Source organism: Homo sapiens, chromosome 1, assembly GCF_000001405.40.
Source record: "Homo sapiens chromosome 1, GRCh38.p14 Primary Assembly".
Taxonomy (NCBI): domain Eukaryota; kingdom Metazoa; phylum Chordata; class Mammalia; order Primates; family Hominidae; genus Homo; species Homo sapiens.
The window spans coordinates 27,521,049-27,532,846 of NC_000001.11; the positions used below are offsets into that span (position 1 = coordinate 27,521,049).

Consider the following 11,798-nt stretch of genomic DNA (forward strand, 5'->3'; position numbering starts at 1 on the left):
CTCTGTCACTCTCTTGCTGGGTAACCTTGGGTGGATTGTTTGACCTCTCTGAACCTTAGTTTTCTTATTTATAAAATGGTGCTAATTTTGTAGATTGAAAACCTTTTATCAATAGTTGTAGCCATACAGAGGTGAAGAATTTTTATTGTTGGGCTGAAAGGCTAAGATTCCAGAGGGGAAGGGACTAGCCCGAGGCCACAGAGCACTGAATTGGATGCAAGGATTTGGACCTGGAGGAGTGTCCAGTCCATACTATCCACTTGCTGAAGGGGCAAATAGAGCCAGAGAAGGGGAGCAAGTTCCCCAAGGTCACTCCGTGAGTCTGGGGCCAGTGTGGGCCCAGAGCCAGGCTGTGCACGAGGTCCCCTGCCCAGCTGCCTCGCTTGCTCATCCAGCCCCCTTGGTTTTGTCTCCCCCAGTGAGTGGGCGCAGAACGGGCCCAGCTTCCTTCCTGCCGCCCTGCCTGCCGTCTGCCACGTTGGCATCCACCCTCAGCCTTCTCGCCCCTGCTGCTGCTGCTGCTGATGCGGCATCAGCCGAGACCAACCCGCCGAGAGTTTGCCCAGAGCAGTCAGGGCTGCCGGAGCCGGGGCTGGGCTGGCTGGCTGACTCTGCCAGACAGGAGGGAGCGAGCCAGCCGGTGGAGGGAGGGAACAAGGGCTGAGCCAGCCCCCAGCCTTCCCAGCCCTTCCCCACCCTCGCCGGCCAAGGGAAGGAGGCAGGAAGCTGGGGTTGGGGGCCAGGGGACTGCAGTGTCTGAGAATGAGGTTCCGATAGCTGGGTCTGTCTGTGGGAGCATGCACACATATGTGTGTGCATGGAAGAGCACGTTGGGGTGGTTTGTGAGTCTGTGTTTGCCTCAATGTGCACAGGTGATGATGCTATGTGTGTGGGTTTGTGCCGACATCGGGGGCCACTGTGTGTTTGTGTAAGCACAAGGGAAAGCTGTATGCCCTGAGTTTGAACGCAGGCCTGTGTACAGAGACGTGCGAGATCTAGCAGTGTGTGCACATGGTAGCAGATGGGCACCACGTCAGTGCCAATAAATCTTTGTATGCACAAAAGAGTCGGTACATGTGCCTGAGTTTGTGTATGTCACATCTGGGTGTGTTGGGAGCCCCTGTGATTTTATGGTGTACAAGAGGATAACAGCATAACTGTGGGTTTGAGCTTGTCTGTGTATGTGCAAGGGACAGTGTGTGTGCAGAAGGGAACTCTGCAGGTGGCTGGGATTTTGTGCATGTCTTGTGCCCAGGAAGGCACAGTACTGGTGGTGTGGGCTAGTCCAAATGTCCAGAGGATGGGTATGGGCGCCTCTGTGCCCAACAGACTTTGTCTGTGTGGTTGTTGAGAGTGACTCAGGGGAACACTGTGTGACTGTATATGCTTGGCTGTGTGTACAGGGAACAGGCAGCACAGGCATTGTGTTTCTGTGGTTGCATTTACACAGGGCGGTGGCGGCGGCGGTGGTGGTGATGGTGACGGTGCTGTGCTACAGGTTTGCACTTGTTTCTCTATGTGGCAAGGCCCTGCGTGTGACTGCGTTTGTGCGTGTCTGTGAGCACGGTGCGCTGGAAACTGCGTGCTTGGGTCTGTGGCAGGCTGAATGGAGGAGGGCGGAGGGAGTCCATGGCTATGTTTGTACTTGTCTGTGAGCCCGGGGTCAGATGCGCTCCATGTGCTACCTCCTGTGTGCACAGGTGGCCGCTGTGTCCAACCGTGTCTTTGTGTGTTTCGGGTTGCCTGAATGTGCACAGGCGGAGGACATGGAGGGGGGGATTTGAGTGCGTGCCTGTGCAGGCCCCTTTAACGTGGCAAGTCTAAGAAATGTCGGCCTTCTTGGCAGCGAATCTGGGCTTGGTTCCACTGGGGGCGTCTGCAGAGAGGGGCTCTTAGAAGGGACGTGCTTGAGCGAGAGAGACAGGAAGGGAAGGGGGGGCCAGCCCCAGCTCGGGGTTTCCAGGAGGGAAAGCCAGACATTGGAACTTGTCAACGCTACCTCCTTCCCTGCCCCCACCTTCCACTGCTGCCTCCCCTCCTGGCGCCTGAAGGCTGCTGGCAGACGGACAGACAGACAGACAGTGCACACATAGACTGGCTCATAGGCACAGAGCCCAAACCTGAGCCCCTAAATGCACAAGCCTGGACACTGAGGTCCAGAGAGGGCAAAGGAAGTAGCTGAGTCTCGGAGGAGCACATGTGTTTATGCATGTTGGGGGCAGGGGGTGCTGTTGGCCTCTGGTGCTTCAACCCAGACTGGAGCCCAGGCCTAGGGCGGGGAAGAGGCTGTGGAGAGCCTCTGGGGAGGGGCTTTTATGGCTCTAACCAGGCCCTCAAGGCCCCCAGCTCCTCTCCCTGTTTATACAACTGCTGCAGTGTCTTTGAGAGTCCTGTTGCCTCAAAAAAACACCTACCGCAACTCCCTGTTTGTACAGAGGCAGAAAAGACCCAGAGAGGAGCAGCAGCTGATCCAGGGTCACACAGCAGAACCAGGACTGGAATCCAGGGCTCCTTCTCCTAGCTGTGCATGTTGGCCCATGGGCCACTTAGTCTTATCTTTCCCTTGGTCCATTTATCTTTTCTTCCTCCCAGGTCTTCGGGATATGACAACGACCTCTTTTTTGTGTTGCTTTTGTTGCCCAAGTGATATGTCTGTCTGCCTGTTAGTCCATCTGTTTGTCACAGGGCTTCAATACCCTCTGGCAGAATACGGAAGAGAAGAGGGCTTGGTTTTTGGCCAAGGGCTATTGGAGAGATAGGGGTGGGATGGGGAGACAGAGAAACAGAACGAAAGGAATTTGAGACGAGAGGAAGGAGGAGAGAAGAGCAAGGGGAGGGCACTGGCGGCAGAGCTGAGAAGCCCAGGCTGCCCTTTACCTCCACCTCCAGCCTGGGCACAGGGGCGAGCTCTGAGCTCAGAGACTCTGAGTCCTGCCTCTTGGGGCCTTGGGGAGAGGACCCCAGGGCTCCTGTAGGGTCTGGGCCCAACCCCCAAACCCTGGGGGCAGCTGGGTTGGAGTCCTGGGGTCAGTATTCGGGGTGCAGGTGTGGGGTGCAGTGACCGAACTGCCCTCATGGGAAAAGGAGGGAGGGGATTGCAGGTACCTAGGGGGCATGAACCTGGGCATGCGTTGACTTAGTGTGTGTGGTCTCTTTGCAGCAGGGTTGTTGAGAGTGTGCGTGAGGTTGCGAGTACGCTAGGACTCTGTGTGGACACCTATGAACATACATGACCCAGTGGCAGACAAGCTGGGATTTCAGTGGGGAGGGGAAGGACTGCAGGAATGTGTGTCTATGACCGGCAGGGAGTGGTTGTCTATGTGTGGAAGGATTTGTGTGAACCTGCCTTACATGTTCTTGGGGAGGCTGTATCCTGTGTATGTAGGCAGGTGAACTGTATAGCTCTGTACAATTGTGTGTGGTGTGTGTGTGTGTGTGTGTGTGTGTGTGTGTGTCTGGATGAATATGTACCATGTGTTTGAATTGCTTAAGTATTTACATGTTAAATGTGTAACTGCATATAAGTGTGGATGTGTATACATGTTTGTAATTGTCTTGAGGTATATGTGTGGAGTTACCTGTATGAGTCTTGCCTGTAGGTTGTGTGTGCAGTTGTGTGTATTTGTGGAGCAGTGAATATTAGGAAGCTGTTCACATGTGCGGTTGTGTATTTTGGGGGATTAGGTTATATGTGTCGTTCTTTTTGGATGGAGTTTCACTCTTGTCACCCAGGCTGGAGTGTAGTGTCAGGATCCCGGCTCACTGCAACCTCTGCCTCCTGAGTTCAAGCAATTCTCGTGTCTCAGCCTCCCGAGTAGCTGGGATCACAGGTGTGTGCCACCACGCCTGGCTAATTTTTGTATTTTTAGTAGAGACGGGGTTTTGCCATGTTGCCCAGGCTGGTCTTGAACTCCTGGCCTCAAGTGATCTGTCCACCTCGACCTCCCAAAGGGCTGCGATCACAGGTGCGAGCCACCGTGCCTGGCCTATATTTGTGGTTCTTAAGGCTATACTTTATTTTTTATTTTTTGTTTATTGTCAAACTTCCCCTGTCAGAATGTAAACTCTATTAGGACTGAAATTTTTATCTATTTTGCTAACTATTTTGCTAATCTATTCCTAGTGTCCAGAATAGGGCCCAACACTTAGTAGGCACTGTATACATATTTCTCCAATGAATGATGAATGAAAGTGTGCATGCTTGGCAGGGTGTGGGAAGTGTGTTAGGTGTATGAATCGTGCGTGTGTGTCTGGGTGTGTGAATGGATAAATTTTTTGTGTCTTGAGTGTGTGAGGTTTCTAGCATAAGTGGCCTATGAACCAAGTACGTGCACAGGTGCATGTGTGTCTAGGCGTGTGACTGTGTACCTGAAGCTGGGCCACGTCTGTGAGCATTGCACACAACTGTGTGCATGCACAGTTGTGTGTGCTTGTACATGGGGGTGGGAAGGCGCTGTCGGCTTCTCCCAGCCTTCAGCACTCACTCAGCTTCACCCCAGGTCGCCTGCTGCGAAATGTCAGTGGCAGAGAAGCTAAAAATATCTGCTCTCCTCCTTCTGCTCACTGCTTGGGCTGATGGGACTGTGGGGCCCCAGCCGGCCCCTTGGGCCCTGCGGGGAGGAGGAACTGCTGGATGAGGGGGCGGGGCACAGGGGAAGGAAGGGAGGCCCTCCTTCGTACACACCCTTCCCCCTTTCCTCTTGGGCTCCAAAGCCAGGCTTCAGGCTCACCTCTTTCAGGAAGCCCTCAAGAACCCCCCAGGAGCTGTGTGTGTCTGTGTGTCTGTCTACCTGGCAAGGAGATATGGCCCCCATCAGACTGGAGCTCCACAGAGCAGGTCTGTGCCTCTTCTGCCCATCCAGGGACTCCAGGGGACAGAGCTCTGTCTCCTTCAGGCCAGGGGCTCCCAGGGAAAAGGCTGGTGCTGTCTCCTCCCTAAGCCTGAGGGTTACGGATGCAGCCCAGGCCAGACAGGGCTTCACTGGGCTCTGGTTCTGGGGCCACTAGGGCCCTCTGACCCCAGGGCAGATCTGCTGTGATGATGAGCTTGTGGGTAGGGAGGAGTCTCAGCTCTGCCCACACCACACCCTAGGCAGGCACGTGTTTGTGCTATGGGTACTTGTGTGGGTGCAGGTGGGACATGTCAGGGCCCGTGGTCCTCTGGGGACCTGTGCCTCTCCACATGTCGGGCTCCTGCCTGCATCAGTGGTGTCAGCGACTGCCTGCCTTGGGCACTGTGGTCAATCGGTACAAGTTGAGTGTATTGTATGTTTCTCTGTGTTCTTTTTTTCTTTGGAGGGGGGGACGGAGTCTCGCTCTGACACCTCCCGAGTAGCTGGGACTACAGGCGTGTGCCACCACACCCGGCTAATTTTTTGTATTTTTAGTAGCAAGAGGGTTTCATCATGTTAGCCAGGATGGTCTCGATCTCCTGACCTCAGGTGATCTGCCCGCCTCGGCCTCCCAAAGTGCTGGGATTACAGGCGTGAGCCACCACACCCGACCTTCTCTGTGTTCTTGTGTGTGCACATGGATGACTGTGTATGTGGGTTTCTGCCTTTCATTGTGCAGGCCTGCAGATACTAGCAGGGATGGACTCTGCATTCATGTGGGAGTTGCTGATGTCACCATGGGGGGTTTCTGTTTGTGTGTCAATGTGCTCGGGTGTGTGTCTCTGTCAGAAGGTCAGTGCCTGTTTGTTCTGTGTATGGAGGTGTATGTAGGTGCATCTGTGTGTCAGTGTTTCAATTACCATGTTTCTGTGTGTCTGTGTGTCTGTCTTCCTGGTTGTCATTATGTCTGCGGTACCTCCGTGCCTGTGTTGCGTGCCTAGGTCAGTTTGATTTTGCAGGTCTGTAGGGCCACGTGTCCCTCTGTATGTTGGTGTTTTCCATGTGGGTTGGAATCTGCCTCTGCTTTTCCTAATCTCCCACCATTTCTGTGTGGAAGGCCTCAGGCATTGTGTGTGTGTGTGTGTGTGTGTGTGTGTGTGTGTATGTGTGTGTGTGTTCAGCAACTTTCCCCAGCCCCACAGCCTGCAACCCTGAGATCTGCTCTCCCACTCTTTCTCCGTTGGACTTCAGGTGGGAGCTGAAGCAAAGAGGGCAGGCAGGCAGGGAGCCCACGACAGCCGGGGGCCGGGGCCAGGCTGCCACGAGGGCCCTACCTCAGCTTTCCTCCAAGCAAGCGCTAAGCCAGAGCCTCGGTTACATGTAAACACCAGCTGTGTCAAGACGGCGCAGCTTCTTCTAGGTCAACAGACAGCTGTGGGGTTGCTAGGCAACCGCCTGGCTCCCCCCTCCATTAGGCCCCCTCCCACTGCCTCTACCTGCAAACCCTCTGCTGGCTCCCCCCACGCCAGGATAGGCCTCACCCCTCCGCGCCAATTAACACAGCGGGACTGAGGGGGTAGGGGGTCAGGGCAGCTCCGGGACTGGAATCAAGGTATGAGGACGTATTAACCCTTCACGTGCCACCACCCCCTCCACCTAGTCCTGGGGCACTTCACACACCCCTAACTTCACCAGTCACTTTAGGGCCTGGAGTGATGAGGAGCACGTCCTGAGGGATGGGGACCCTCAGTGCAGCCACAACCAGGACTGGAGAGACGCTGGAGGCAGATGGCGCAGGGCTTGGTCAAGGCCTCTCCCCTCCCCAGCCAAGCCTGGGGGAAGGAAGGGTTAAATTCCCCCTTTATTTCCCCTGTCCCGCCCCCTCCCAGGACAACCACCCCATTTCCAGGGCAGCACCTGCGCTCCCAGCTGCCGTGCCCGCTTGGTGCCTGAGTCCGGGCCAGGCAGCCCCCGCAGCGCCCAGGCCCTCGCCCTCGCCGTCGCCCTCGCCCTCGCCGGCCCCAGCGCCGCCCTTTGCCCGGCCTGGGACTTCTCTGCCGGGAAAGGGGAGGCGAGGGCCCCTAGGCCTTAGGCAAGGGGCTCAGGCCCACCGGGTGGGGTGCGTGGGCCAGGGCCGCCAGCCCCGGGGTGACTTGGCTGGAGCCGGAGGAAGGAGTTGGAGGAGGGAGCCCGGCCGGCAGGGGGGCAGCTGTGGGGGCAGCGCCCGTGGCCGCCCCATTAGTATGCGGCCGCGCTCTGCGCGCCATGGCAACAGCTCCCCCCGCGCAGCGCTAGGCGGGCAGCCCCGGGCGCAGCGCGCACCTCTCCTCCCACAGGTGGCGGCGCGCACGGGCACGCACGCACACTCGGCTCGGGCGCCTAGGGGAACGCCGGGGGCGCCAGGTGCGCTGGGGCGTCCTGCCGCCCGTGCAGCCGCCCATGGGCGTGTCCCCAGGTGCTCCAGAGTGAGGCCCGAGGGAGGAGTGTGTCCTTGAGGACGTTCTGCCCGCGCCTGGGTGTGCCCCTCAGTGGGTCCCTCGGCCGGCCTGCTGTGCTTTTATGTCGGTCTCCGATTGTCCTGGAGGGTCTGTGCCTGTCTGTGCTCATCTGCCTCCTTAGCCCCGAGTGCCTGAGTGACTGCCAGTTAACCGAGCGTACCTGTGCCTCTGTATCTGTGTCTGTACGAGCCCAAGGGGTGTGTGTGTGTCCGTGTGCGCGTCCATGTCTCTGGGTTTTCCCCAGGAGGAACGCCCTGGGTGTGTCGGCGACTCTGGATGTCCGTGTGTGCCAGAATGAGTACCTGTGTGTGCGCCTTTGTGTCTGTGTGTGGCCCGTGGATATCTGTCTGGCATCCCTGAGTGTTTCGGGTGTGGCTGTGTGTGGACTTTTGTACGTCTATGTCCCTGTAAGTGCCCTCAGGAGCCCCTCTCTCCATGCATATCACTGTGTGTTCCTGTGAGTGCCCCACGTCTCCTGGAGTGTGGCTGTGTGTCCAGGGGCTGCTGGCTCTTTGCCCTCCTCGGCTTCACTCCCTGCTGCCTGAGTGAGCCGACACCTGCTCCCTGAGCACTGGGCCCCCTTCCCCCCACCTGGCAAGGACAGGGAAGGACACGGAGGCAGAGGCAGAGGCAGACATGGAGGCAGAGACAGAGACATGGAGGGAGACACAGCCAAGTAGGCTGGAGAGGTGGAGATCCAGTCACGTGATCAGCCTCAAAGCCCAAGACGGAGAAGAGAGGCACAGAGATGCCAAGATCCGGACATTAGAGAGAGGGAGACTCAGAGGCACACAGAGACCCAGAGCACGGCGTCCGGAACTGCAGAAACAGAAGAGATCAAGGATGCGGCTCCTCAGCCTCCCTTCCTCTCTCCCTCCCTCCCACTCTAGAGTTTCCAGCCCCAGCTGTGCCTCCCCCACATACCCAAAGCAGAGTTCTCCTGGCCCTGGGACTGGAAGCCAGCCTCCTCCTCACAGCTGGCTGTGTGTGTGTGGACACGTGTACATGCATGTGCGCATCTGTGTGACGCACTGGGCTAGTGCCTACCTTGTACACAGCCCCCCTCCATTCAAAACCTCCTCTCCCCACCACCACCGTCCACATTTTCACAGGCCCAAATCATGCACACCTTTACACACATGCCACACAGCCAGCCACACTCATTCAAGCCCAGAAACATGCCCTGGGCCTCCCTCTCTCAATCTCATCCACACAGGGCCAGAAGACCCAGCATACACAGCCACACCAGAAAGTCTCTCCCCGTCCTAAGGTGTGAGGGTCAGATGTCCACCCCTCTTTCCCCCTCTCAGCAACCCTCGAGGGGCTCGAACCCCTGCTACTCACAGGGAAAAACGCATGACTAAATTTGTCAATTCCATCAGATTAGACACTCAAAGGCAGGGCCCCTGACTGTCCTGCTCACTGTTGACTCCCCAAGTGCCTTCGACGGTGCCTGGAAGGTGCTTAAGAAATGTTTGAATAAATATGTTCATACCAGGTCTCTGGTGTGGGGGAGAACCCATAGTAACTGACAGCCACTCAGAGTGAAAAACGCTAATGGATATCACAGTGTACACACACCTAGGACAGTACACTAAATACAGGTGTGTGTGACACTCAGCTCAACAGCTCAATTAGAGGTTATCCAGTGGGCTGTGTGTTGGAACCACCCAAGAAGCTTTCAAAAATCCCCATGCCCAGGCCCCACCCCAGACCCATAAAATCGGAATATTTTGGGGTAGGACTTGGGCATCGGCATTTTGAAGCTCTCCAGGCAATTCCTTTCTAGGATCTAGAACCCCTTATGTACATGAATAGACTAACAAGTGTTGACACAGGGGTTATAGCCAGGGATGGGAGTAGAGAGGATTTTCACTTTTTTTGTTGTTTGTTTTTTTGTTTTTGAGATGGAGTCTGGATCTGTCACGCAGGCTGGAGTGCAGTCGCGCGATCTCAGCTCACTGCAACCTATGCCTCCCAGGTCAAGCGATTCTCCTGCCTCGGCCTCCCAAGGAACTGGAACCACAGGCGCGCGCCACTGCGCCCAAGGATTTTCACTTTTAACTGTACAGTGAAGCACAGACTTCTGAGCCAGACTGCTTGGTCTGAACTCTGGTGTCACCACTTAGTAAGTTCTGGTTTGAATGTACTCACTGAGTGGTCTTCATAAATTACCTCTCTGCACTTGAGTCTCCTGTCTGTAAAATGGGGATAATAATCATTACAACGAAGCCTCATAGGATTCTGGTGGAGACCAAATGCATTAATACATATGCAAAGCATTTGGAACAGCTGGCATATATAAGTGCCATATATCTATTATTAAAAATTTTTAAATTATAGAATGGATTAATTTTTGGATTTTATAAGCAGATTCCGCCCCCCGCCCCGCCTTAAAACTGTTATGAAAAAGCAAGAAAGGCCAGGTGCAGTGGCTCACGCCTGTAATCCCAGCACTTTGGGAGGCCAAGGTGGGCGGATCACGAGGTCAGGAGTTCAAGACCAGCCTGGCCAACATGGTGAAACCCTGTCTCTAGTAAAAACACAAAAATTAGCTGGGCGTGCGGGCACCTGTAATCCCAGCTACTTGGGAGGCTGAAGCAGGAGAATTGCTGCCACTGCGGAGGTTGCAGTGAGCCGTGATTGCGCCACTGCACTCCAGCCTGGGAGACAGAGCAAGACTCTGTCTTGGGATAAAAAAAAAAAAAAAAAAAGAAAAAAGAAAAAGAAAAAGAAAAAGGAAAGGGGAAAATTTTTTTTTAGACGAAGTTTCGCTCTGTTGCTCAGGCTGGAGTGCAGTGGCGCCCTCTTGGCTCACTGCAAGCTCCGCCTCCCGGGTTCACACCATTCTCCTGCCTCAGCCTCCTGAGTAGCTGGGACTACAGGCGCCTGCGCCTACGCCCGGCTAATTTTTTGTGTTTTTAGTAGTGACGGGGTTTCACCATGTTAGCCAGGATGGTCTCGATCTCCTGACCTCAGGTGATCTGCCCGCCTCGGCCTCCCAAAGTGCTGGGATTACAGGCGTGAGCCACCGCACCAGGCAGGAAAAAAATTTAACAAAGAAAAAAAGGCTGGGCGTGGTGGCTCGCACCTGTAATCCCAGCACTTTGGGAGGCAAAGGCTGGAGAATTGCTTGAGGTCAGGGGTTTGAGACCAGCCTGGGGAACATGGCAAGACACCATCTCTAAAAAGCAGAAATAGAAGAAAAATACAAAAAGGGGGAAAAAAATAAAGGAAGGGCCTAAAGCCTAGGCCAGCCTACTTCTGCCACTTTCCACGTGAGCTTTGGACCAGTCCCTTACTCTGTGTCTGGGAACCTGTCTTCTCATCTGTAAACCAAGTGAGCATCTTTCTCTACCTCAAAGATTGTTCTGAAGAATAAACGCCTCAGGGAAGTGTTTAATAAATGATGGCGAAACCCACGTATCTGAGAGCCACATTGCCTTGATGCATTCTGGGATCAGGTGTGGCACTGGGGCGGTGGTAGGGCCCTGACCTCTGAAAAGAACGGATCAAAACAGGGTGTGCCCCAAACCTGCACCATACACTGTGCAGGGTCTTTGCTGCCCTTAACTAAGGGCACAGAGAACCTTCCATCCCAGAGGCCCTGGTCCATCTCCCGAGTCTGGTCTCCAAAATACACCACAGCCTGCCTCACCCCTTACTAAGCAGCAGGCCCTAGGCTGAAACCCCTCCCCTTCCTGAGCGCCCATTCTCTTGCTGCCCCTCCGTTCCCATCTCCTGGAGCCCCTGTTCTCACCAAGCCTTCCTACCATCACTTCCCTCTCCCTATGCCCCTCTCTTCATAGTGAACCCCCATCTTCCCTTCGAGTTAAGGGGCCCCTTCACTGTGCCATAATCAACCCGTCAAACTCCCACTTCCTTCCTGGGTCTCCTCTCTCTGCCCCAGTTCCAAAGCCCTGGGGCCCACAACCCTTCACTGCCCTTCCTCCCCTTCTCAAGACCTATCTCATGTTGAGCCCCAGTCCCTTCCACTGAGCAATCCACCACTGTCTCCTCCCCTCCCCGAAACCTCCTCTGGGCCGCCACTCCTCTGAGCCCTCAGCCGGACTCACCAGGCCCCACTCTGATTCCCTTGAAGCCAACTGGGCCCGGCCTGCCCCACCTGGACAGCCTCCCCGAGTCTCTTCTTCTTCCTCAGCAGCCGCTGAACACAGGCATTTTCTCCCTGCGGGTGATTCTTGAGGCTGAACACAGGTTTCTCTGCGGTTGGCCTATCTGAGCCTCATCCACTGCTTTCTCTGATGCTGCCCACCCGCTCCAACCAGCCTCCACCTTACCCAGAGTGACCTTGCCAAAGCCCTCTCCCCTCCCTAAACACAGCGTGTGCCCAACAGAGCTAACTGCTTGTGGCTCCTGCCTCCTGTTACCCTTTCGCATCTCTAGGCCTTTGCACATCCTCTTCCTCCTCCAGGAACTCCCTCACTTTTCTGCCCAGCACCTTAGG

General features: G+C 55.5%; 1 long non-coding RNA gene across 3 annotated transcripts, besides 7 other annotated features; it reads left to right on the forward strand.

Annotated features, from left to right (window-relative positions):
* Positions 1 to 1,438: 1,438 nt before the first annotated feature.
* On the forward strand, positions 1,439 to 9,672 carry LOC105376892 (uncharacterized). 3 transcript variants are annotated; one of them, NR_188658.1, is made up of 2 exons: positions 1,439 to 1,498; positions 9,238 to 9,672. It is a non-coding gene; the product is annotated as an uncharacterized LOC105376892 (long non-coding RNA). The 3 variants fall into 3 exon arrangements; NR_188659.1 differs by lacking the exon at positions 1,439 to 1,498 and adding an exon at positions 4,729 to 4,837; NR_188660.1 differs by lacking the exon at positions 1,439 to 1,498 and adding an exon at positions 4,729 to 4,837 and having other exon boundaries at positions 9,312 to 9,672.
* Positions 1,760 to 2,342: an enhancer, noted in NCBI's record as "H3K27ac-H3K4me1 hESC enhancer chr1:27849319-27849901 (GRCh37/hg19 assembly coordinates)". NCBI's record gives its function as "activates a minimal SCP1, AML or CMV promoter by ChIP-STARR-seq in primed H9 embryonic stem cells {active_cell/tissue: H9 hESC(primed)}" and the evidence as "EXISTENCE:reporter gene assay evidence [ECO:0000049][PMID:30033119]".
* Positions 4,254 to 4,892: an enhancer, noted in NCBI's record as "H3K4me1 hESC enhancer chr1:27851813-27852451 (GRCh37/hg19 assembly coordinates)". NCBI's record gives its function as "activates a minimal SCP1, AML or CMV promoter by ChIP-STARR-seq in naive and primed H9 embryonic stem cells {active_cell/tissue: H9 hESC(naive and primed)}" and the evidence as "EXISTENCE:reporter gene assay evidence [ECO:0000049][PMID:30033119]".
* Positions 4,254 to 4,910: a biological region, named in NCBI's record as "H3K4me1 hESC enhancer GRCh37_chr1:27851813-27852451".
* Positions 4,821 to 4,910: an enhancer, noted in NCBI's record as "active region_555". NCBI's record gives its function as "activates an Ori minimal core promoter by ATAC-STARR-seq in GM12878 lymphoblastoid cells {active_cell/tissue: GM12878}" and the evidence as "EXISTENCE:reporter gene assay evidence [ECO:0000049][PMID:35858748]".
* Positions 6,921 to 7,030: a silencer, noted in NCBI's record as "silent region_519". NCBI's record gives its function as "represses an Ori minimal core promoter by ATAC-STARR-seq in GM12878 lymphoblastoid cells {active_cell/tissue: GM12878}" and the evidence as "EXISTENCE:reporter gene assay evidence [ECO:0000049][PMID:35858748]".
* Positions 7,051 to 7,410: a silencer, noted in NCBI's record as "silent region_520". NCBI's record gives its function as "represses an Ori minimal core promoter by ATAC-STARR-seq in GM12878 lymphoblastoid cells {active_cell/tissue: GM12878}" and the evidence as "EXISTENCE:reporter gene assay evidence [ECO:0000049][PMID:35858748]".
* Positions 7,800 to 8,514: an enhancer, noted in NCBI's record as "H3K4me1 hESC enhancer chr1:27855359-27856073 (GRCh37/hg19 assembly coordinates)". NCBI's record gives its function as "activates a minimal SCP1, AML or CMV promoter by ChIP-STARR-seq in primed H9 embryonic stem cells {active_cell/tissue: H9 hESC(primed)}" and the evidence as "EXISTENCE:reporter gene assay evidence [ECO:0000049][PMID:30033119]".